The sequence below is a fragment of the Homo sapiens genome, chromosome 11 (genome assembly GCF_000001405.40).
Source record: "Homo sapiens chromosome 11, GRCh38.p14 Primary Assembly".
In the NCBI taxonomy this organism is placed as follows: domain Eukaryota; kingdom Metazoa; phylum Chordata; class Mammalia; order Primates; family Hominidae; genus Homo; species Homo sapiens.
In genome coordinates, this window is record NC_000011.10 from 108,904,132 (window position 1) to 108,929,215 (window position 25,084).

The following is a 25,084-nucleotide window of genomic DNA, read 5'->3' on the forward strand; positions in this document are numbered from 1 at the left end:
ATGGACATTTTATTTAAAACCAGTGAGTTGGAAATGACCCTATTCTATTAGAGCAGGGAGTCAGAGCAGGGTGGTTTCAACAGAAGCGACTGAGGCCTCTTTACAAAATGCTAAAGGAAAACAATAGTTTTTGGTTGGAAACCAAAATGTTCATTCAGTGACATTCCATTCAGTGGTATCAAGGTGACATTTTTTTTGGCAAGATACTCTGTCATGGTTTGTAATTTTTACATTTGTAGGAATGTTTTCCCCACTATTTAGTGTTTCTGCCTTTTTGAATGCACATGGTTAATGGATTTTCACATTCTACTGGATTCATTCATATGCATTTGTCAAAACCTGAATTCATTCAATTCATTTCTGATTTTAAATTGCTGTTTATTTTTCACCAAAGATGAGCCAGTTTTAGTACCTGCAAAGAGTAGTTTTTCAATAGCTCACTGAGAGAAATGGACTGGGTTCCTACTTGGAGAAGTGATGATAAATTGATGGAACAAACCATGAAGAATGTAGTAAATCAAACATGCACATGACTGAAAACCCATCTCCTCTGTTTATTTCTCTGAAGATAGATCTCAACTAGTTCCGTCAGGGTTTTTTTTTTTTCCCCTGAGATATGACAGTTTTGGCCAAAGATTGAAAATGTAGCCATGTGCCAGAGAGATATATGAGCCTACTAACTCCATGGCTATTTTATGAATTATTGAAATGTTACTCTTACCCTTAAAAAATGTTGCATTTGTGCTTTTATTCTGTTTTTCTGCTTCTGAGCAGCCTAAGACTTGCATATGTCACCAGGCAGCTGAAACCTAAAACATGTTCAAGGCTTTCAGGGATGAATGACCTTAAAGCTCAGGATAGTCTAATTTGAGACCTATGTTCTTATTATCAGTTCAGCCCCGAGCAGTAGTAACTGGGAGTTGCGGGCTGCCCGTGGACTCTTTGAAAGTTATGGCTCTGCTCTCCCCACAAAATGTGTTATGTATATTTACTTTATATTTTTCATATTGTTTCAGGGGTTTTGTGGCTTCCAGGAACCCCAGGTTAAGAACTCCTAATCTAAAGCTCTCCTGAACCTGTTATAATAGATTCCATACAAAGATCTTTTAGAGTTTTAAAAAAATTTCATCTCTTTAATTTCAAAGATATTATTTATTATAAGGTACTATTAGATTGTTTAAGGGGGGGGGGGGTTGAAATCCTGTGATCCAGTCCCACCACCTGAAGTTTCCTCTATATATGTTTTTTATAGTACGTCTTTATATTCTACTAACTCACTGTGAACACTTTTAAATGTCATTAAAATATTATATGGGGGAGTCCTTTTTTTTCAATTTACATACAGTACAATTCACTGTTTGTGGTTCACTTCTATGGGTTTTGACAAATGCATAGTGATGTATCCATCGTAATCAAAGATGCAGTGTAGTTTCATCACCTCAAAAATGCCCTCTTGCTGCCTCCTCCTGATCTATTTTTTGTAGCGATGTGTGCCTTTTCTGGAATTTCTTATCAATGAAGTCATCTCATATGTAGCCTTTGGGGTCTGGCTTTTTTGGGTTTAGCAAGGTGCATTTGAGATTCATCCACTGTATTAGGCTGTTGTTGCATTACTATAAAAAAATACCTGAGACTTGGTAATTGGCTCATGGTTCTGCAGGCTATACAGGAAGCATAGTGGCATCTGCTTCTGGGGAGGCCTCAAGAAGCTTCCAGTCATGGCAGAAGGCATGGAGCAGAAGTAAGAGAAGTGGGGTGAAGTGACACATACTTCTAAACCACCAGATATCGCAAAGACAGTACCAAGGGGATGGTACTAAACCATTCATGAGAAATCTACCCTGTGATATCCGATTACCTCCCACAGGCTCCACCTCCAGCATTGGGGATTACAATTCAACATGAGGTTTGAGTGGGGACACAGATCCAAATCATATCATCCATGTTTTTGTATATATTAATCCTTTTTTTATTGAGTAATATTTTAGTCATCAAACTATTTACTATTAATACCTGGTTTACCATGTAGTACTTTTATTTACCTTCCTCAAAAACTGTGGTGCATTCTAACATTGATACTCCTTTGAGCCTTAATCATTTATTTAGTTTCAATTATGTTATTTTGTGTATAATATTTTATATTTTTCTAGTATGATACACTGCTTCCTTAGATGATGTAAATATTTCACATTTCTGCTTATGTTAGAATTTAGAGAAAGCAGGAGGGGTCCTTGAGGATATGACTGCCAAACTGCTGGAATGTCTTTTCCCAGTGTGCACACATGGGTTGATGATAAATGTTAGTACAGGCACCATCACATGCATTGCTCTTCCAGTGCTCATAACAGCCTTGAATGGTAGATGTCAGTGTTCAGATTACACTGATGAGGAAACAGAAGCTTCCTGAGTTCATGGCCTAAGGACACACAACTAGCCATTAGTGGATCAGAAGTCAAATTAGTGTCTTGTGACTCATCTCCTATTAGAGTGTTTATTATTGTAAGAAAAATAGTGAACTGGACTTGGAATTTTTCTTTTACTTAATATCTTATTTAGTGTAATATTTCTCAGAAAAGACAAGAAATAAAGATGATCAATAAGATGCACCATTATTTAATAGGGCGTTATGAAATTGTAGCATCATCAGTATCCTGTTGGGCTCTGTGAAATATTCATATATTAAGAAAGCAAGTGAGTAAGCAATTTAGGAAGAAGAATGAATTTTGTGCAAAGCAGCCTTAGAAGAAATCTCATTTTGCTAAAAGTCTTAAGGTTAAAATGCTGAATCAGAGTCCTTAACTGGCATACTGTGTCTCAGATTACATTCTTCTTTTATACCAATGCTCAGCACCCAGGAAGTGTGCAGTAAACAGTTGTTAAATGAATATTCCAAGTTCCGAAGATCCTTCCGGTTTTGGAATATGCTCTTTAGGGCTTTTGCATATTCATATGCCAGCCCTTTGCCTGCCATTCTTAACTTTATTCACTGCATGCATTATTTATATCACTTCCTCATAGTCCTTCAGTCAAATATCCCCATTGTTTTGGAATGATGAGGAAAAAAATAAGGTATTGAGAGGAAATTGTGTAAGTGCTACTTTATTGACAGGACCAATTCTGTACTGAGGTGGCGTTTGTCTGAATTTACCTGTTTGTTCCTTGATATGGCTTTTATCCTTCCCCAGCATCCTCCATTGCCTCTTTTTTTTTTTTTCCTTTTTTGAGACGATGTCTTGCTGTGTCCCCCAGGTTGGAGTACAGTGGCGTGATCTCAGCTCACTGCAACCTCCACCTCTCAGGATCAAGTGATTCTCCTGCCTCAGCCTCCCAAATAGCTGGGATTACAGGTGCCCACTACCATGCCCAGCTAATTTTTGTATTTTTAGTAGAGATGGGGTTTCACCATGTTGGCCAGGCTGGTCTCAAATTCCCATTGCCTCTCATCCCCTCAAATTTCTACATGGTTAGGTGGCCAGAGCTGAAATGTGTTGCCTTCCTCTCATTTGCTGTGTCAATTGTATATATTAATGCTGGGTGTTAGGAAGGGCAGAGATGTTTCTGGGCAAGATCCCCATAATTGTAGGGGATCAAAGTTGGGGTTTTCAAGTACACTTCAGCCAGTATATATTAGAGATGCACCAAATACATACACATTTGGCCATATGCCAAAGGATCAAGTATATAAATCAGTATTAACGCTATAACCCAAATCACCATTATAGAATAAATTTCTAGGAGGCAGATAAACTAAAAATATTGCAAAATATTTTTGTTAATATTACAACATTATTATTAAAAAGTGATGGGGCCAGGCTGTTAAAATTTAACATCATGGTGTGGGAACCATAATTTCTCAGCACTGTCAGTTGCTCTTGTGTTTCCTGTTCTGCACATCTGCCTTAGTAAATACATACTCACTTTCAGTAATGCATTTAATAACATCACTAACCTTTTTTGTGTTCATAATTCAGAAAAAATTTTAATTTCTTCTCTAAATAATTTAGTGCCTAGGATTTATAGCTTGGGGAAATCTCAAAATCAGTCTATCTTTAACTACTGAGGATGGTCAGCTATCCATAGCAATCAATTTTTATTTTAAATTTAAAAACTATGAAGAATTAATGCATTCTTGGAAAGTTGTTTTGAAGTTTAGTGGAAACAAAATGTGTTTTGATTACCTCACTTTTCTGTAAAATTTTCTTTTTAATCTTTACATTCCTTGTCGGAATCAAAAATAGTTTATAATAAATTTTGGAATTTTTCCTCTTCATGAAATTTCAAAGTTGACATTTTGCTTTTAATTCATACAATATGGGAAGACTTTAAGTCCTAAATGGAATTAAATAACTAAAATTTCAATTCAGTTCTTAAAGGTTATTTTGTTTTTATGAATGCTGTATGGCATGTAGGAACGTAATAAAGATAATTCTCTGTATTTAGGCTTCTAATATATTTTCTCACTGATAATCACTGACAGCCTAGCATGACTAGGGCAACAAATTAGGAAATTTGTTTTAAAAATCAGGCAGTGGGTCTCTAATACATTAAATATGTTTTTACTCTTGTGTCCCATTTATATTTGGTGTCAGACAACAGACATTACCATGTACTTTGCTGAGTTCTGGGGGAATGGAAATGAAAAGTGTGTTATTATGTAGCATATTTTAGGGTGTTACTGTGTGCCAGGTACTCTAAGTGCTTTACCTATGTTGTTTCATTTCACCTGCACAGTCGTCCTGTGAAACAGATGCTTTTTACAAGTTTTACTGAAGAAACGATGCTTAGAAATACTTGATGACTTGTGTTATCAGGTATAGTATAAAGAAACATGTTTGGTCTTTGTCCCTGGTTCCTGGACAGAACACCCTTAAACCCCTGGGATTTCCTGAGTGACAGGAGTGTCTCTGGTTTTACTTAAGAAGTCACCTTTCAGCACTTGGCATTTATACTAATGAGGTGGCTTAGGGTGGCATCTCTAGATAGCTTCAGGGTAGAGGCTGGTTACCAGAAAGACCAAACAGTTGATTAGAGGGTGGAGCTTTTAGCCCTATTCCCCCCACCTCCCTGGAAGGGAAGGGTGGCTGGAGATTGAATTATAAAAGCCCTTGAAAAGTGAGTTCAGAGAGCTTCTGCATGGGCAGACACATTCATATGCTGGGACGGTGGCCCACCCAGGAAGGGCATGGAAGTTCTGTGCCCCACTCCCGCCCCTTCCCTTGTCCTGTGCCCCACTCCCGCCCCTTCCCTTGTCCTGTGCCCCACTCCCGCCCCTTCCCTTGTCCTGTGCCCCACTCCCGCCCCTTCCCTTGTCCTGTGCCCCACTCCCGCCCCTTCCCTTGTCCTGTGCCCTACTCCCGCCCCTTCCCTTGTCCTGTGCCTCTTCCTCTGGCTGTTTCTGAGTTTAGGCCTCCATAATAAATGGGCAATCATTAAGTAAAACCCTTTCCTGAGTTCTATGAAAAGTTGTAGAGAATTATGGAACCTGAGAGGGGCCTGTGGGAACCCGTGAATTTGTAGTCTACTGGCCACTGGTGTCCGAAGTGTGGGCAGTCTTGTGGGACTGAGCCCTTGACCTGTGGGATCTGTGTTAAGACACTCTGCATGGTTATTGTCAGAAATGAGTTGTATTGTTGGGCACCTGTTGGTACCTGTTGGATTGGTGTGAAGAGACACCATGCATTTGATGTTAGAAGGCACCACAACAGGCAAGAAGCAGCAGAGGGTGTTCCAGGAGAGAAATAGCATGCACGAAGACTTGAGGTGGAAAGAGGCTTGACTAGTGCCGGTATCTGAAAGAACGTGTTGTAAACAGGTGTCTTACATTATCACATGTGAGATTTGAAATCTATTTCAGAATTCTAATTACAACACAGAATTGGAGTGATCAGAATTGGGGAAAGAATACTTGCAGGAAGACGTATTAGGCAGCTGGCGCAATATTCTAGGCAAAAAAAAAAAAAAGGCTTGGGGGCCAAGGATAAGGAAAGTGGAGATTACCACATGTAAGGTATCATAGGAAACACCTGCATGTTTTACAAAGCTTATAAAATACACTTGATACTGGAAAAAACAAAAACACTGTATAGGCACATCCAAAGTTTTAATGATGAGATTTGAGATTCAGGGTGATGTAGGAGAAAACCCCTTGTGTATGTCCAGGTTTGTATGACCTTGGTAAGTAATTTAGTCATCAGAATCACAGTTTTGTAATTTCAAAAATGGGAACAATAAATCTTTTTGACCTACTTCATAGGCTTTGAAGATCAAGTAAGATAATCTATGTTAAAGCACTTTGTACGTTTGTTGTAGGAGAATGCCACATCTTATTTGTGTTTCTTGCCATTATCAAAACCAAAACAAAAATAACCAGTCAGGTAACATTTCTGTTTTGGGATATTTTCACCTGACCTACTTGTAAATGAGTTTTCCAACTAACTGTTTTAAGAAAAGTCATTCCTGTTTTAGGTGAAGTAATTTCCTCAGAGGTTCTTAAACTGTATTTCAGGAACTGCCAGTTATAGAGGTGACACTGATCTCTTCATGTGGGTAAAATACTCCCCCTTTCTGCCCAGGGCTTTAAGAGAGGAGCGTGCATGCGTGTGTGTGTGTGTGTGTGTGTGTGTGTGTGTGTGTGTGTGTGTGTGTGTGTGTGTGTGTGTCTGTGTGTGTCTGTGTCTGTGTGTGTCTGTATGAGGATGATAGGGGGTTCTTGTTTTGAGCAGGCTGGAAGGGTGGAGAAAGATGAGAGAACTAGTCAGTGAGGGGGTAGTGGTGGTAACTTGCAACTTGGAAATATGAAGAGAAAGAAGCATGTTGACAGCCAGAATGCATAATCAGTCGGCCACATGTTAGGGGATCCATAAGGTGAAAACTGCTTTCTATCTCTATCAAATGTTAGACATTTAGCAGGGCTTGTGGAATTGATTCGCTCTTGATTGACTGCTCCCCAGAAATAGCAGAACCTGGCTTTCATTTTAATGCTTATGTGGGTAACGGTTCTAGAACAGCTCATTTTGTTATCAGGGCAGGGACATGATTTTGTTCACTGCAGCATGTCCAGAACCTAAAAGTGTGTCTGCTATACATAATAGGTGCTAAATAAAGATTTGTTGAATGAAGACATCTTTGTCTTAATCCATTTGTGCTGTTATAACAAAATACCTTAGATTGGGGGTAATTTATAAACAACAGAAGTTAACTGCTTGCAGTTCTAGAAGGTGGGAAGTCAAAGATCAAGGTGCCAGCAGATACAGGGTCTGGTAAGGACTTGTTCTCTGCTTCATAGATGGTACCTTCTTGCTGTGTTCTTCACGTGATGGAGGGGCTGAGCAAGTTTCCTCAGACCTCTTGTAAGGGCACTAATCTCATTCAGATAGGCTCTACTGTTAGGACCTAACCAGTTCCCAAAAGCTTTGCCTCCTCTTCTTTTTTTTTTTTTTTTTTTTTTTTTTTTTTTGAGACAGGACCTAGCTCTATCACCCACTGGCGTGCAGTGGCATGATCTTGGCTCACTGCAGCCTCTGCCTCTTGGGCTCAAGCCATTCTCCCACCTCAGCCTCCCAAGTAGCTGCAAACTATAGGAGCGTGTCACCATGCCTGGCTAATTTTTTTGTAGAGATGAGGTTTCACCATGTTGTGCAGACTGATCTCGAACTTCTGAGCTCAAGCAGTCCATCTGCCCTGGCCTCCAAAAAAGCTTTGCCTCTTAATACTATCACTTTGGGGGTTAGGTTTCAACACATGAATTTTGTGGGGGACACAAACATTCAGACCGTAGCATGTTTTTGTAAGGCATCCTCTCAGTGTTAATTAAACTGCTGTCTTCTTGGTTTCTATATTTAAGAGAGGTCTGATGTGTACGACTAAGCTTCTGTGTATATTCTCTTAAATATATTATGTACCTGTCTCAGTCACTTTGGGCTGCGGTAACAAAATTCCATAGACTAGTAATTTAAATAACACACATTTCTCAGAGTTCTGGAGCCTGGAAAGTTCAATATCAAGGTGCCAGTAAATTTAGTATCTCCTGAGGGCCTGTTTACTGATTTGTAGATGGCTTCTCACGTGGTGGAAGGGGACTTAGCTAGTTCTCTAGTTCTTCTTTTAAGGGTGCTAATTCCATTCATGAGGGCTCCACCCTGATGACCATCACATTGGGATTAGGGTATGGACATATGAAAGAAGAGGGGTACAAACATTGTGCATTATAATACCCCTGTAATCCATAGAGTCTAGTTGATTCTCCTTCCTTAATATTTCTCATACCGATCCTCCACCTTCATCTCCACTGCCACTTCCTTCATTAATTATTATAGTTTTAAAACTGATATCCTTCCTTCAAATGTTATACCTTCCAACCACCCTTTCTATTGCTGCATTTCTAAGGTACTAATTTAGTTTCCTGCTAAAATGCTTAAACAGTTTTCCCTTACTTACAGCAGTGAGTTTCCAGCCATGGTGTCCTAACACACTGACATAACTGGGAACGGTGTCAGGCAAACTTGTCTTCCATTTGATTCCTAAATTAGATAGCTACAAAGATAAAAAAGCTACATACCCTCCTCACAATTTGCCCACAAGGATATTCCTGTGGAGAAAGGACAGACAAGAACTCAAAGTCATCCCTCTGCTCATGTGAGAAAAATGCTTATCTGAGTGTTTCCTCTGCCCTATTGCTTCACTAAGCCAGACTAAGGCATGAGTGACTATTCCTCTACCTCCACCTCACATGTCAATTGTGTATTTAGTAAGAGGCTAATCAGAGACTCAAAAGAATGCAATTGTTTGTCTCTTATCTACCTATGACCTGGAAGCCCCCTCCCTGCTTCAAGTTGTCCTGCCTTTTTGGACAGTTGTGAGGTGATAGATATTTCAGAGAATATTTGACTCATGAAAATAAGTCAAAAGGAGGTAAAAACGAGGATGGTTCTGTCAGCCCAAAACATCTGAGACAAATCTCAACCAATTTAGAAAGTTTATTTTGCCAAGGTTAAAGGACACACCCATGACACAGCCTCAGGAGGTCCTGAGGACATGCGCCCAAGGTGGTCGGGGCACAGCTTGGTTTTATACATTTTAGGGGGACGTGAGACATCAATCAGTATCTGTAAGATGTACATTGATTCAGTCCAGAAAGGCAGGACAACTCGAAGCAGGGAGGGGACTTCCAGGTCATAGGTAGTTAAGAGATAAACAGTTGCATTCTTTTGAGTCTCTGATTAGCCTCTTACTAAATAGACAATTCACATGTGAGGCGGAGGTAGAGGAATCATCATTCCTGCCTTAGTCTGGCTTAGTGAAACAATAGGGCAGAGGAAGCAATCAGATAAGCATTTGTCTCACATGAGCAGAGGGATGACTTTGAGTTCTGTCTGTCCTTTGTCCACAAGGAATATCCTTGTGGGCAAATTGCGAGGGAGGTATGTAGCTTTTGTAGCTATCTTATTTAGGAATAAAATGGGAGACAGGTTTGCCTGACACAGTCCCTAGCTTGACTTCCCTTTGGCTTAGTGACTTTGCCGTCCCTATTTTCCTTTTATGGTCCCATTTTGGTAAATTATCTCTTAAATCATTCATGAAATCAAAGATAGAGACAGAGCAGCTAAGAATGTCCATTTTCTTACCGTATGTGGCTAGAAAGTACATACTTCTAGGCTTTGCTAAAAAGACATAGTACTTCAGAATGTTTTCATTATGGTGATACTATTTTTAACTTAGTGACTTGTGTTGTAAATGATAGTGGTTTTATTAATAAATTAAAGGTATTAGTCACATTATACTTTCCATAATACAGGTATTCCACATTTTATTGGTCATTGTCATGAATTGACTGTAATGCCGCACAGACAATATGGTATAGCACCAACATTGCAGTCATTTTGTAGGTCAGGAAATAGCAAGGCCTGGATGTTGTCAATTACAAGAGTCACATTAAAACAAATCCAAATAGCATTTTATCCATTTGAAAGTAAATTTTTATTACTTTGAATTCGTATTTTCTTTATATACCAATGTAAATAAACATTTATATTGGAATACTGAGTTAAGGTATTTATATTAAGTTTAACTTTCAAATTATTCTCTTATTAAATTGTAGGTATTTTGTGAGGGTCACTTTATAATGCTAAAGGGGCATAGTAAATTGTGGCATTATATATTAATACACTTGAATAATGTATTCTGCTCAAAGTGTCAGAGTGCAGATCTCAAAGCCAGCAGAGCAGCTGGAAATTAGAGGAATCGCCAGAGGCAGCCACAGAGAGGGTAAGCCTACCTCTGCCTGAATTCTTGGCTAAGTACCACATTGTACAGGCTCAGGGGAGACCCATAGGAAACTAGAAGCCACAGGATCAAAACAGATATAAGCAGCTCCTTACTATGGATTAGAGTCTGCAGTTTTAATCTAGGCAAAGTACCTGCCTGTTAGAATACAAATTCAGGAGTCCTCAGGAAACATGATAGAATCTAGTGTTTCGGTAATATGTTATCTACAATCTCCAGTTTTCTACAAAAATATTAGACATGGAATTAAACAGAAGAGTGTGATCTATACCCCAAAAAAGGCAATCAGTAGAAGCTGACTTAGCTCAGATTTGAATTTAGCAAAGACTTCAAAGCAGCTATTTTAATTATATTCAAAGAATTAAAGGAAAATATGGTATCAGTGAATGGAAAAATGTTCTGAGCAGGGAAATGGTAACCATTAAAAAAAAAAAAAACTGGAAATCCTAGAGCTGAAAAGTACAGTTACTGAAATTTAAAAAATTGCCAGGTGAGCTCAAAAGCAGTTTGGCATTGTCAGAAGAAAGGAACAGCAAACCTGAACACCCAGTAGAAATTGTCCTGTATGAGGAATAGAAAAAAAAAATGAAGAAAAAGGAACAGAACCTATGAGACCTGTGAAGTAGTCCAGTATACATGTGCTTGGAGTCCTGAAAGGAGAGATGAAAAAGAGACATAAACATATTTGAAGGAATAATGGCTGGAAACTCCCCAAATTTAGTGAAAAACATTATCAGATCCAAGAAGCTTGCAGAGTCCCAAGAAATACAAACACAAAACCATTCCTAGACATATCATGGTCAACTGTTATGATAAACAAAAAATTGTGAAATCAGCCAGAGGAAAATGATACTTGCTTACCCTTCAAGGAAAACAACTGAAAGTATTTGTTGCTGATGCTAAAATTTGAGCTTTTAGGAAAACAAGAATTTTGGAAAACTTGTATTCACCAATATTTCTCAATATTTGACTTTGGAAAATTTGTAACCACCAACAGCTTCCCAATACTAAAAAGGCTTGTTTTTTTTTTTTTGGTTTTTTTTTTTTTGTTTGTTTGTTTTAAAGACATCGATGGTGGATAACAAATGTGACTTTAAAAAAATTATATAATGCAATGTGTCAACATTTAGAGATCTGCATAATCTATGTAATTCAGTGAACAATTATTTTCCAAGTAACCAATGTATGATGTTACAAAATCATTCACTAAAGATCCATTCAAAGTGCAAGGTAGACCAATGGATTTTAATGTAACAAATTTCAAAAAGTTCATTGATATGGTTTCAGTTTTCATATGACAACTAGTTTTTAAGAAGCTATTACACATCAACGTTTGTTATGGAATGAACAAAGAATAACTGCAGTTTTCTGAAAAGGTTCTATTACTCTTCCCTTTCCCAAATACCTATCTGTGAGAGGCCAGATTGTCTTTACATTTTTCAACCACAACAATATTGCAACAGAATGAATGCAGAGCGGATTTGAGAATGCAGCTGTCTTCACTTAACCCAGACATTAAAGAGACTTGCAAAAATGTAAAAAAAAAAAAAAAAAAAAGTTCTTTAGGAAATTACAGCTATTTTTCATAAAATATATTTTTATTTAATACAGTATATTAAATGAATAAATATATTTTTTAAATTTTTAATTTCTAATACAGTAAATGTCAGTAGATCTTCCCCATGTTAACAAAAGCTCTTTGGCATCCTCCATTCTTTTTAGGTGTAAAGGTGTCCTGAGACCAAAAAGTTTAGAACTGTTTTGAGTCTGCTCTGCCTCCACCTTCAGATAGTACATTCCTTTAAGGGCATCAGACGGGAAAATTAGAAATATCTTGTAGCTCAGGAAATTAGAATTCTTGAGTTTATGGTGACATCCAATTTTTGTTGGTGTCTTTGATTATTTTCAAGTAAACAATAAAATAAGCTGTCAAGTGTGCTGCTTAATGCTTCTAATCCCCCCTCCCCCCAACTCAATTTCTTTCCAGACCTTTTATTTTTTACCAAGGACTCTCACCAGGAAAATAATAAGGGACTTTTGCAGTGGTGACTAATTCTTATGTTTAGAGGTTATCAAAGAATGTTAGAGTACTTTAATAGTGAATAGCATAATAGTGCTAGCACAGTCATTACTATGCTATTCTGAACTGTTATTCAATTTCTGGGAACGAGCATTAATCATTTGAAATCAAAAGAATCAAAGAATCATTGAAGTTTATATCATTTGGTATGAAGAATTGTAAAGATGGTAACTGAAAGAAACTGAAATTTTTTTAGTCCCACTTATAATTTTCTGTTAAATGCATGTGCCACTGCTTGTTTCGGTTTATCTGGTAGTTGACAAAACCAATCTACCAGAAATAAATTTGTCGTGTGATGTTCATAACATAAATGTATAATAAGTTTAATTTTGCATTAGTTTGTTTTTTGACAAAAATAACCACCAAAAATTAAAAACAAAAGAAGCCCACTTACCTACCTGCTTGCATGAAACTGAACAGATCTCAACTTCCATACATTCCCTCCCATGCATTATTGCTTTTCCCATTTCTTGGTGTTCCTCCCCTTCTCCCATTCTTCTTAGTGACTCTGCACTTGCATTTGAATTTAGAAGACCCATCACTACAAATAAGCTTGTACAGATCTGATTATTGTTGTTGTTTCGTTTTTAAGAGATGGGATCTCACTCCATCACCCAAGCTGGCATGCAGTGGTGCAATCATGGCTCACTCTAGCCTCAGCTGTCTGGCACACGAGATCTTCCTGCCTCAGCCCCTGGAGTAGCTAGGACTACAGACACATGCCACCATGCCCAGCTAATAGATCTGATAGTTTTTTAAGACTTACACTTTTGTGGTCATAAAATCAGACAAATGTTACTGTACTCTGGCTTCTGATCTTTTATATTTTCACCTAGTATTTTTGGTAGTTTTGAAACTTACATGTGTGGACAGGATCACTAAAACAATTTTGTATGCTATTTCTTTATGTTTATTTTTATTTTATTTTAGAGATGTTGCCCAGGCTGGTGTGCAATGGCTATTCACAGGCGTGATCATTGTGTACTGCTGCCTCAAACTCCTGGGCTCAAGCAATTCCCTTGCCTCATCCTCCTGAGTAGCTGGGATGACAGGAGCATGCCACAGCACCTGGCTTTTATTTCTTTGATAATTGAGTTGAGTTACACAGAAATAATAAAATAGACAATTTTCTCCTGTATTGTGTTTAAAGGACTGAATAGTGATTTGCTTTCTGAATCTTCTTTTATTTTTGAAATGATAAGGATTTTCATTTCTTTGCCAATGGTTGTGGTTCTGAAAGTCACATAAGGGCCTACACCAGAAGAGAAAGCTAATCTGTGGATGTCAATTAGAGGGATATCCATTGGGGTCTGCAAATAAAACCTGATTATTTATCAACTGACTTCTTCAACTGCAGTTTCCCTTATTATTATTTTTTAGGCCAAAGATGAAGAGGAAGCCTTTCTGGATTGGAGTGATGATGATGATGATGATGATGATGGATTTGATCCAAGCACACTCCCAGATCCAGATAAATACAGAAGCTCTGAAGATTCAGATAGTGAAGATATGGAAAATAAAATAAGGTATGTTTTTACTATGGGTATGAAATACATACTTAGTACTCTCACATCAGTCTTTTAATGAATCCAAAAGACATTACTAAGAGTTCTACTCCAAGAGATGTTTGTTGCTTTTTTTTGATACCTTTACTTAGATTCCTGGAAATCCTGCTGCTGTTTTTTTACTCATTTTGCTGCAGATTGTTCTGGTCATGTTAGGGCCTTTTTGATTATTTCTATAATCCCTATTAATAGATATGAGTATGATATATGAGTTGTGTTTTTCCTTTCTCTATTCTTTTTTTTTTTTTCTTATCTTTCTCTGAGTCCTTTATGCCTAAGTATTTGATGCACTAAAATCTGTTCTCTGCAAACAGAGTTAGGGTTTTATTTTTTTTCATTGTCAGAGAACTCTATTAAAGATACTGCTAAAAATTGTCCTTGAATTTTAAAACGTGGACATTATTCTTCCACATTCTTTTATATGGAATTAAATAACAAAATACTGGTGGGGCTGGGCGCTGTGGCTCATGCCTGTAATCCCAACACTTTGGGAGGCTGATATGGGAGGATTGCTTGAAGCCAGGAGTTTGAGACCAGCCTGATCAACAAAGTGAGACCCCAAATCTACAAAAACAAATTTTTTTTTAATAAATAAAATAATGGAACACTTGTACAGAAACAACTCTTGACAAATTCCTTCACTTTAAAGTCTATTTGCTATTATTTATTTGCTACCATTGGCAGAAACAAATGAAACGTGATGAATAATAATATGACTTGCTCACCATTTGTTTTCAGAGTACTATGTATTAGATTACATTAAGAGTTTATTGATTTCAAAGTTGAGAATGTTAAACTTCATGCTCAATCTAAACCAGTGAGCTTCTTTACAGAAGGGAGGTACTAATAACAGATAGAGTTAGTATGATTGAAGGGAAGAGGAAGCCTGATGGAACCCTTGAAGTGCTAGCACAGGGTGTTTGCAGTTGGAGAAGTAGGCCATAGAGAGCTATAATTTGTTTTAAACAAGAACATTATGAAAAGGTCTTAAAGATTTTCTTAGGACAAAATGCTGTAGAGAGACAGAGTTACTCTTCATTTGAATCTTATGCATATTTAAACATGAATTATTTTTTAATAGGAAAATTCACTTATCCAAATTCAGTTTTCTGAGGTGATGCCAGAAACTTCCATTTGCTGTTGGACAACTAGGTGGTTGAACATATGAGCTTTATATAGTATGTGTAGGCTCTAGGTAGTGGACATCATTGTTTTACTACCACAAGAGGCACCACAGATAAAAATAATTTGATTAGGATTTAGAAAAATATACAAATGTTTGTGCCATAAGGATTAAATAATTTAGGTTCTGGGCATATTCCTAATCTTTAAAAATTGACCTCTAAGAGTAAATATACATGCTCTGAGTTCCTTGGTGTATGGTCTGAGACCTAGATGAACCCCAGTGGGGTCAGGTTTGCTTCCCCTTGTGTTCCTATATAAATGCACCTCTTTTAGAATGGTTTATGGGGTCTGTATTTTGGTAGATGTGATTTAATGTAACATACATGACTTTCAGTCATTGTCTTCCAAGTGTTTCCATGTAACTTGACTCCCTGGAAGCAACATTAATTGGTTCTTGCATTTCTGCAGCCATATTTTGCATATCTATCTAATATACCTTTAAAAAATAGTCAACCTTTGAAACCTTTGGCAGGATGTCAGCAGTCCTTCTGCATTTGATTTATATGGATTTTTTCCCTAACATTTTAGATAGTTTCTGGGTCATCTTTCATCTGTGTACAGCAGGCATTTCATTTAATTCTTCTGCCATTTCTTGCCCTTATAGTGACATTTCCATGCTACCACCTAGTTAATAGAACTTGTTCTCTAGTAGCTCATGTGTTTCATCCTGTTAATTGGCTGTAAATGTTTTGTACCTAGAAATTGTCCTTACATTTTTTTTTTGGTACCAACACTTAACTGCTCTAGCCTCAATTCCCACCCCTAATATTAATGTCATGGCACAGAGAATGCCTTGACATATTTGAATTGATTAATTGATTGATGAAGGAGATTTACAGGGTTAAAAAAGAAATGTAATTATAAGAGACTATATCATTGGTCCTAATATTAATAGGTTAAATGATACAAGAGATGACAGAATATAGATGGAGAGTTGGAAGAAGCCAAGTTCATACAGTGTAATGGTGATGAACAAGAAGGTAGGAGTACTGTGAGAGATGACAAAGCATCTTAACTTAAAGACAAGGGTTCAGATGGAAAGTATTTAAGCATTATATGAAAATTAAAACAGTTTTAATTTCATGCACAGCTAACAAGTCAGCATTAGTGGAGACTGGGATTGGTCAACTTGTTTTAAGCTGACAGAAATTGTCTTTTGTTGAAGAGGAGGATATCAACAAGGGCTTGATCACTGATGAGGGATTTTATTCCTGTAGCGTATATAAGGGCTTCCTAGCAGGTTTTTTGTTTTGGCCTGTGAACACAGAGATTGTCTAATCTTATAGCCTCCTTCTAGATGAAAAAACCAAGGCTTTAAAGGCTAAAATAACTTGTCTGTGATCACAATAAAAGTTAGGGACAGATCAGTGTGATCTTTGTAAATTAAACTAACTCCCTAGTTCTAGAATCTCAGTTAGGTTGTATAGAATTACCCTGGTGTTGAGAGAGGTAGCTCAGGATAATGTCATTTGACTAAACACCTGGATCCATGGACTAACCATAAGATAGACATGGTTTCCCACCCTCAGCATTATTGATATTCCGGCCCAGATAGTTTTTTGTTTGAGAAAGGGTATAAGCTGCTTAACATCATCCTTGGCCTCTACCACTAGCATTTGGGACAACTAAAAATGTCTTCAGACATGGCAGGTATCTCTGAGGAAGCAAAATTGCCCACAGTTGAGAACAACTGGATTAGACCCCAGATGGCAGATACATATTACTGGTGCTTAATTTCCCCTGTCCTTCAGTCAGAGTAGGTTTTTTCTCTATTCACTTCCATTTGGCCTAAGCAGTCCTCAGCACAGTCTCTGTCAATCAATTGGAACTGGTACGGAAGGTAAAACCTATTTGCCATTCCTGGACTAGCAGGCAGGATTTGGAGTAAATTATAAGTAGTAGCCTACATCTGTAATTTCTATTTATACTTTAATTTCCATTTTTCTCCCTTTTCTGTGGTTTATTTGCCTCAATGGCAATGAATCAAGATGTATGTAAACTAAAACCAAAATTGTTTTAGATAAAGAAAATGTATTTGGAAGATTGTATATACTAGAATTTTGACAGTGGTAATTGCTGTTGCTGCTAGCATTTGCATAGTAGCGCCAGTAAAGTTTTTCTGTATTCTTCCAGTTTGGCTACACACTGGAAGCATACAGCTTCCATCTGCTTATGCTTCTCATAAGCTGTATGATTACGTGCTAAGATCTTATGATGTCAGCTTTAGTGAGTCCTCTTGACATGTTCACAGGTTTTACTTGCTGTGCTGTCTCTAGCCCTCTACTCAGTAATTGAGGCAATGGCTAGTACTCCAGCCTCTTGGACATCATCACATCTCTCAGTAGGTTATTCTCTGGCTATACACTTAGCATTTTCAGAGACGAATTCACTCTTATGGGACTAGATAGACCAATTGGAAAGTAGCTATTAGTCCTGGCCGGGCGTGGTGGCTCACACCTGTAATCCTAGCACTTCAGGAGGCCGAGATGAGTGGATCACGAGGTCACGAGATCGAGACCATCTGGCTAACACAGTGAAACCCCGTCTGTACTAAAAATACAAAAAATTAGCTGGGCATAGTGGTGGGCGCCTGTAGTCCCAGCTGCTGGGGAGGCTGAGGCAGGAGAATGGTGTGAACCTGGGAGGCGGAGCTTGCAGTGAGCCGAGATCGTGCCACTGCACTCCAGCCTGTGCGACAGAGCAAGACTCCCAGAGAGAGAGAGCCGAGCACAGTGGCTCACGCCTGTAATCCCAGCACTTTGGGAGGCCGAGGTGGGCGGATCACAAGGTCAAGAGATTGAGACCATACTGGCCAAGCTGGTGAAACCCTGTCTCTATTAAAAATACAAAAATTAGCCGGGCGTGGTGGCGGGCGCCTGTAGTCCCAGCTACTTGGGAGGCTGAGGCAGGAGAATTGCTTGAACCTGGGAGGCAGAGGTTGCAGTGAGCCGAGATTGTGCCACTGCACTCCAGCCTGGGCAACAGAGGGAGACTCCATCTCAAAAAAAAAAAAAAAAAAAAAAGAGAGAGAGAGAGAGAGAAGAAAGCGAAGAAAGCAAAGAAAGCACGAGGGAGGAAGGGAGGGAGGGGAAGAGAAGGAGAAAGAAAGAAGCTATTAGTTCCAACCTAAACTAGCATGAGCGAGTTTCTTTGAAAATTTCCTCTGGGTGTTTCTTTTTCCTTTACTTCATTGACACATATAAATATTCAGCATGAGTAACACTTTTGTTTCTCCACATGGAAAAGACACTGTCAGTTGGAACTAGGCAATGGAGAGCCAGATTTAGTGGAGAATGACAGAATCTGGGGTCAATAGTTCCCCCTCAGGGAGGGCTGACAGGGTTTTAAAGAGTTTTTACTTCTGCCTTCTTTCTCAGTTCAGTGCATAGCTGCAATAGAATTTAAACTACCTTCGACCCTCTAAAATTATCAGAATTGTTATCTCCAGCACTGAGATTTCAAAAGGGTTCTGATGTGGATTCAACCCAGTTTAGTTAGCATGACTAAAAGAGAACTTGCTTATAATATGGTTTCAGGGACAAAGAAAATTATGTGACTTTGGGTTTCTTTTAATGAGCTTTAAGAATACCCCCATGAATAGTTTATTTATCCTCAAAAACAGAGCTGTGAAACAGGGGACCAGCTAATCTACCCGCAGTACAGAAGTAGTTGGGGCCAGATGTCCAAACTCCATTTAAGGATCTAGGCTTTCATGTGCTATTTTTGATGACAGGTGTAGAAGGGAGAGCTTGATGTTCTCTGGCTTTTTTACTCTTCTTTATCCATCTTATATATTGGTATAGGCTGTGTTTTACTCTGGCTTTCACCTCTCATTCTTCCTTTGAATATGTGGAATAGGTAGAATTAATAGATGTTAGGATTTGTTGTTGTTGTTGTTATCATTGGAGACACAACAGCTTAGTAGGAAACCCAGCTCTCTGTTTCAGTGGGCTTTGTGACATTCATTGAATTTATTGGTCTGCTGGGAACTGCACAGAGTCCTGTGTTCTTATCTCAAGTAAGTTTTGAAAGAGTTTTGTACCTTTTGAGGAACCAAGACCTCAGATACTGTAATTGCCTTTGGGCTAATGAATGATTTTTCATTTCAAATAGTCCATACAATAAAGTTACACCATGTTCAAAATAAAAATATTTTTAAAAGCTTCTATGTGGAGTGCCAAGGAATAGAGTAAGAATCTTCTGCATTATTTAAATCATATTTTACTTAAGAGTTAAGAATACCCACTTGATCTGTTAGTCTCTGGATTATAACATTTCTTCCATCCATTCTTTCAACTAAAAATGTTTTAGTGCCTGTCATGGGCCAGGCATGGATCCAGAAGATAAAACATTAAACAGGAAACATATCTTTCCTGCTTTCACAAAGCTTTTTGTTCCATGGAGGTTACAGGTAGCTAAATAAGCAATAACACAACAGTGTGATGGATTAGTGCTGTGGTTTGTGCACTTGGGGAGGCGATGGTGAGTGGAGTAGGTAGGGAATGAACATGGAGACCACATAAGTGATGGGTCCAATCTAGGCCTGGTGGGTCAGAAAGAGCTTCCTGCAGGCAGTGGTGTCTACACTAAATCGGTCTTAGGTGTAAGTATTAACTGAGCAGAGGGGAGGGTAAATTGCACTTCTAAAAAGCGTGGCTTCTAAAGTGAGATGAGTGTCTTTAACCGTATTCCGTTTAAACTCTTCTTTCAATAAAATTGTTTCTTATAGCTGTGCTTCACAAGCTGAGAGACTTGATTCTGAGCATATAAGATTAATTTTTGTATATCTAGTAGCATTTATCATGTTTGGTTTTTGGCCATCTTCGTGTGAATTGCTAATGATGTGAAAATTTGCAAAGTATTAAATACAATGAAAAAGAAACAGCCGGATGTTCCAGATGTTCATTATCCAGTCAAATTAAATTTTTAATATATATAATCTTAACCTTTTTCAAACAAAAAAAGGAAAAAGAAAAGGTGATGATTCAACTCTTACTACCTTACATCAATCTTTGCTTTGTAGACTACATTCTCTGAGGCAGGTAGCTTCCTAAAGAATTCTTACATGGTGCAGGGTATTTCGTAGATTATTCTAGGTAGCATAAGACCAATTACATCTATAGTTTGTACTGAGGCTATTGTCCTCATTTAGACCTGATAACTTCTTTATGGATTGATACCTTTTCCAGTACAGAGTAAACTATTCCACATCTAAATATAATTAGGTGTTCTTTTAACCTATTTTTACACATCTCTGAATCAAAAGACTAATCAAGGTTTTTGGTCTGCATGTTTGTTCTTTTATTTGGGTTTTTGTTTTGTTTCTAAAAATCTGTTCCATATTCATTTTTCTATCTTTTGAGTGAACTTGCCTGTCTTTAAAAATGATCTCTTATGTGAGGTAGATGAACTGCTTTAACCACTGTAGTTTCTCCTAGTATTGAGTTCTGTGACATCTCTTAAATAAGTTTTGCTCAGTACCTATTCTAAGATTTTACAGTCAGCTTCATAATTTGTGGGAGGCTTTTCACTTGGAAAACAATGTTCTCAGAAGCCATTTTCATTTCTTTCTTGTTTTTGGATGGAGCTAAAAGAGCTTTTTCTTAGTCTAGGTGATTGTTTAAAAAAACTACTATTCACTGCAGTTTCCAATTACTTGAACCTCTCCTTCATTATGAATCTCATTGTGTGTAGAAAATGTAGAAAGAGGTTGGCTCAGCTTAATTATATAGTGAATTTATTGTGTGCCTGCCATTCTTTCCTCTTACTCTTTTCAGCTTCAGGAGTATATGCCCCCTTCCCATATGCCAAGCAACTTTCAAGAGAAAATCTCAGTCGTTTCTTATTTGTCAAACATTTGAAAATAAGAACAATATTTGGAGAAACTCCTGAGGCAGATTGTTGGGGTGGGGTTTGGGAAAGGCAATATTTGTCTTAGGACTTTTAGAGAAAGGTTGCTACACATTGGGGAAGGAGGATGTTATTTTCTGGGGTGAGGACTGGGTTGAGATGGGGAAGACACAGTTTGAGAAATTGGGAGTTTAAGAAGCTACTCTCTTACTGTTACTGTTTTTGCCCTGTGCTTTCTACTCTATCATTTAGTCAACCATTATATATAACTTAGGACAGTTGTGAGCCTGTCATTTTTCAGAAGCGCCAGGATCTCTAAGAAGGGTGAATAGCTCAGGATGCTATGAGGCTAAGATGAACCACCCTTGCTAGTAGGGTTCTCTGGCAGCTGCCCTAACTCTGGTGCACTGCAACTTTGTTTTCACTGAAAAGACCTTTGTGAGTGACTTCTTAGGATGTTTCTTTTTGTCATTTCACATTGCATTCACATAGAATGCACTCATGCCTAATGACTGCAAACTTTCTATCACTTGGTTACACCATAAGTTCCTTGTCTACCTCCCTTTTAAAATTTTTAGATTGTACCCATGCTTAGGTTTTTGGTTCTTGTTTGATTTTATTTTGTTATTACAAGTAATTTTAATGGGTTTTAATTTTCGCTATTGTAAGTAATTTTTAAAAATTGTTAGTAAATTTTTTAAAGATCGTACCCATGCTTAGGTTTTGGGTTCCTGTGTGATTTTATGTTGTAATTATAAGTGATGTTTTGGTGGGCAGCTTTGTTGAAGACTGGGTTTTCTTTCCTTTGAAGTCATTTGAAGGACTAATGAAGAGTGAGACTAAACTGTAAAACTCCATTTTGTCAGATAGCTGGAACATTAGGGACATGCTTGGGTAGGTGGTGATCTTAGATATTGAAAACTAATCAGGGAAAGTAGATTGAGAGAGAAGTGGATGGGATGTGTTTCTGAGGAGCACAAAATGTTCTACATGCAGATTAGCTGTGAGAAAAAGGCATAGCATAAACTCAACTTGTATGATGTTTAATTTTTTTTTTTTAAATCTGGGAGAAGAGACATAATTATACCTTCTAAACTGCTGTGGAGCAGGGATTCTTAACCTGGGCTCTATGGATGAGCTTTAGGGAAATCTTGAGATTTCGTGAAAAATGATGGCATGGGTGTGCATGTAGCACAGACACTCCCATGCAGTTAACTGGATGATTTATGACGAGAAAAATAGAGTGGGGCCAAAAACTTTTTGCCAGCCCCAAATGGCGTTGTAGATATTTTACAGATGGAAACACATATGTGAAGTAGTGGTATGATGTGCAGTCTTCTGCCTTCTAGTTCTTCCTCACCACCACCAGCCTTTTCTGATTATTAGAATTCTGATCCAAGAGGACCAGTTTTTTCCTCTCCTTTTGCAGTTATGTTTATAATGAACTCTGAGCCCATCAATCTTTTCTTAGATGAAATTGTTTTTACAAATTTGTTTTTAATACTGAGCAGCTAGAAAAGAGACATTAAGGACATGATACATTTTCACTACCGATTCTACATGTGGTAGCCTTTGCTGACAGGAGAAAGCTGAGCACATTTTATGGAATGTACTGCAGTAATTAATCTTCATTAGGACTGTTGCATGGCCTCGTAAATTAAAATTTATGGTAAGGGGAAAAGTCTCTGGCACAACATATTTGAATACCAAAGTGCCAGTACTTTAGGATGGGTATAAAGGTTTCTGAGAATGTTTCAGATGATCACAAGCTCATGTATTAGGTTTAAATTATTTAGGAAAAAATCCAAGCTACATTTATGATATGAATGCAAGAAGGAGAGTTTTATACAAATAGGTGCCCAAAACTGGGCTCTCAGGCGCTAAATTCTTGTCTCTCACAGTAGCTTTCCACAGCCAGTTTAGCAGCATGTTGTAAAAGGACACCTCAGGGTTTCTGTTTAAGGGCATATTCACTGTTCTCCACCTCCAGACACCCACCCTTAGCTTCCTTGCAGCTTTATCAGTCTTTGGTTCACCTGATTTCTTAACTTAGCATTCCAAAGGAAAGAAGAAAAAGCAAGAGATTGAAAAGCTGCTCAGACAGTCTAATAAAGGGAGTGTGCTTTCTTCCAGCAGCCCCTTGTCCTTGCTTTTGTGAAATTTCTGAATAGGCTGTACAGTGATGTCAATCCCCTATTTTGTAATTTAACACATACAAACTTGCACACCCCTAATTGTACATGAAGAAATGCAGCTGCCACAGAAGTTATGAGCTCTGAAATGAGGCATATGCCACTTTCTGGCCGCACAGTCTCTTGTTCAGAGTCAGGCTTACAGAATCCCCCATAATTTCAGTTGCCGTTTTATAACTTAATTATTGGAACTGTCTGCCCCAGCATCCTTGGAAGTTTAGTGCTCACTCCACTAGATTGTGTTTCTATAAGGCACTGCATCCAGCAGGAGAGAAGTTAACAGATTTTCCCAGAAGATGTTTTTCTTCTATGTTGCCTTGGGCCACAGCCATATCAGACAGCACTTGGAACTTTTTTTTTTTTTTCTTTTTCTGATGGAGTCTCCCTCTGTTGCCCAGGCTGGAGTGCAGTGGCGTGATCTCAGCTCACTGCAACCTCTGTCTCCCAGGTTGAAGCAATTCTCCTGCCTCAGCCTCCCGAGTAGCTGGGACTACAGGCGTGCGCCACCATGCCTGGCTAATTTTTTTGTATTTTTAGTAGAGAAGGGGTTTCACCATGTTAGCCAGGCCGGTATTGAACTCTTGACCTCAGGCAACTGCCTGCCTTGGCCTCCCAAAGTGCAGGGATTATAGGCGTGAGCCACCGTGCCCAGCTGGAACATCTTGAAGTTTGGTTTAGTGGTTCTGATTATTGTGTCCTCGCAGCCCAGGAAGTGTGGTTTCTAGGTTACAAAGGACATTCTGACTTGTTTTGTTTGGATTTAATTCACACATCATTTAAAGTATGCTGTTTACCAGTGAGAGGTCTTCCTATTCATGGCAGGTACCAATGATTACCTTCCTCTTCTGTGATAATATGTTATTTGCCCCACTCTTTCCCACACTTGTAAGTTTATTGGCTAAAGTGTCCTAAAAGCCAGAAAGGGAATTAAAAATTCAAGTGGAATAAGCCCTAGGAGTTCTCGCTACATGGAATAATATATCAGTGAATCAGTCTCTCTCCTTATGCCTTTCTCTATCAATACATAGAAATTTAAACTATGCCTGATCCTGGCAGGGTGTTCTCAGAAGCATCTGTTTTACAAAAATAGTTGCTCTAGCAGGTGTGAGATATGAATTACATGAGGTTCTGTGAACCGAGAGACTGAATGCCTTGCCCACATGCACCACTGCTTGTAGTTTTGGAATATTGATCTACACGCTGTATTATTATCAACTTTGCAACAGGGAAAGTAGTTTTGTGAAATTAAGACTGTTAGAACAAAGGCAGGCTACTTGGCTTTGTGGGGAAAACTGTGGGTTTGGGGATTTGACAGACCTGAGTTTGAATCTTTCTTTTACAAGTTATGGACCTTTGACAAGTTACTTAATCTCTGTGACCCAGCTTTCTTCATCAGTCAAAGGAAGATAATTTTTACCTTGCAAAGTTACTGTGAAGATCTAACGAGGGTAAAAAGAAAGTGAAATATGACATTGAATAGGGTCATTAATGTGCAGTAATTATTTTAATTACTAAAAGCAAAACTGGTAGGAGTTTGTAAATGAGTATATACATTGATAGGAATAAAACTTAATGTCCTCTAGGATAGCTACTTTTCCTTGTTTTCCTCATTGAAGTCATTCATTAAGTCCCCAGGTAGCACTAGGCCCTATATTCAAAACAGTTTGCAAAAATATCTTACAGCCTGGTTGAAATTAATGATGTAGTGACAGTAATGTCATGTAACATAGCCTATTCAAAATATGGATGGAGAGTCCACGTTACCAAATTGGAGTGTAGGAATGCCCTTACCTGTCTGTTTTCCTTTGACAGTCACATAATTTAGGCATTTGATAAACTGCTAGTTTACCATGTGACTGGCAGAGAGCAATAAAGAAGAGATACTGGACCCCAGCCCCTCATAGAGCGTACGCTCCAGCAAGAGAGACAGA

At 38.2% G+C, this 25,084-nt stretch overlaps 1 protein-coding gene across 1 annotated transcript in view, besides 1 other annotated feature; it reads left to right on the forward strand.

Annotated features, from left to right (window-relative positions):
- DDX10 (DEAD-box helicase 10) overlaps positions 1 to 25,084 on the forward strand; it is a 275,859-nt gene that overhangs the window by 239,063 nt on the left and 11,712 nt on the right. Inside the window, exon 17 of the mRNA NM_004398.4 lies at positions 13,742 to 13,887. Within this exon, the coding sequence (NP_004389.2) occupies positions 13,742 to 13,887 (146 nt within the window). The remainder of the gene's footprint in view (positions 1 to 13,741; positions 13,888 to 25,084) is intronic.
- Positions 9,062 to 9,563: an enhancer, noted in NCBI's record as "NANOG hESC enhancer chr11:108783920-108784421 (GRCh37/hg19 assembly coordinates)". NCBI's record gives its function as "activates a minimal SCP1, AML or CMV promoter by ChIP-STARR-seq in primed H9 embryonic stem cells {active_cell/tissue: H9 hESC(primed)}" and the evidence as "EXISTENCE:reporter gene assay evidence [ECO:0000049][PMID:30033119]".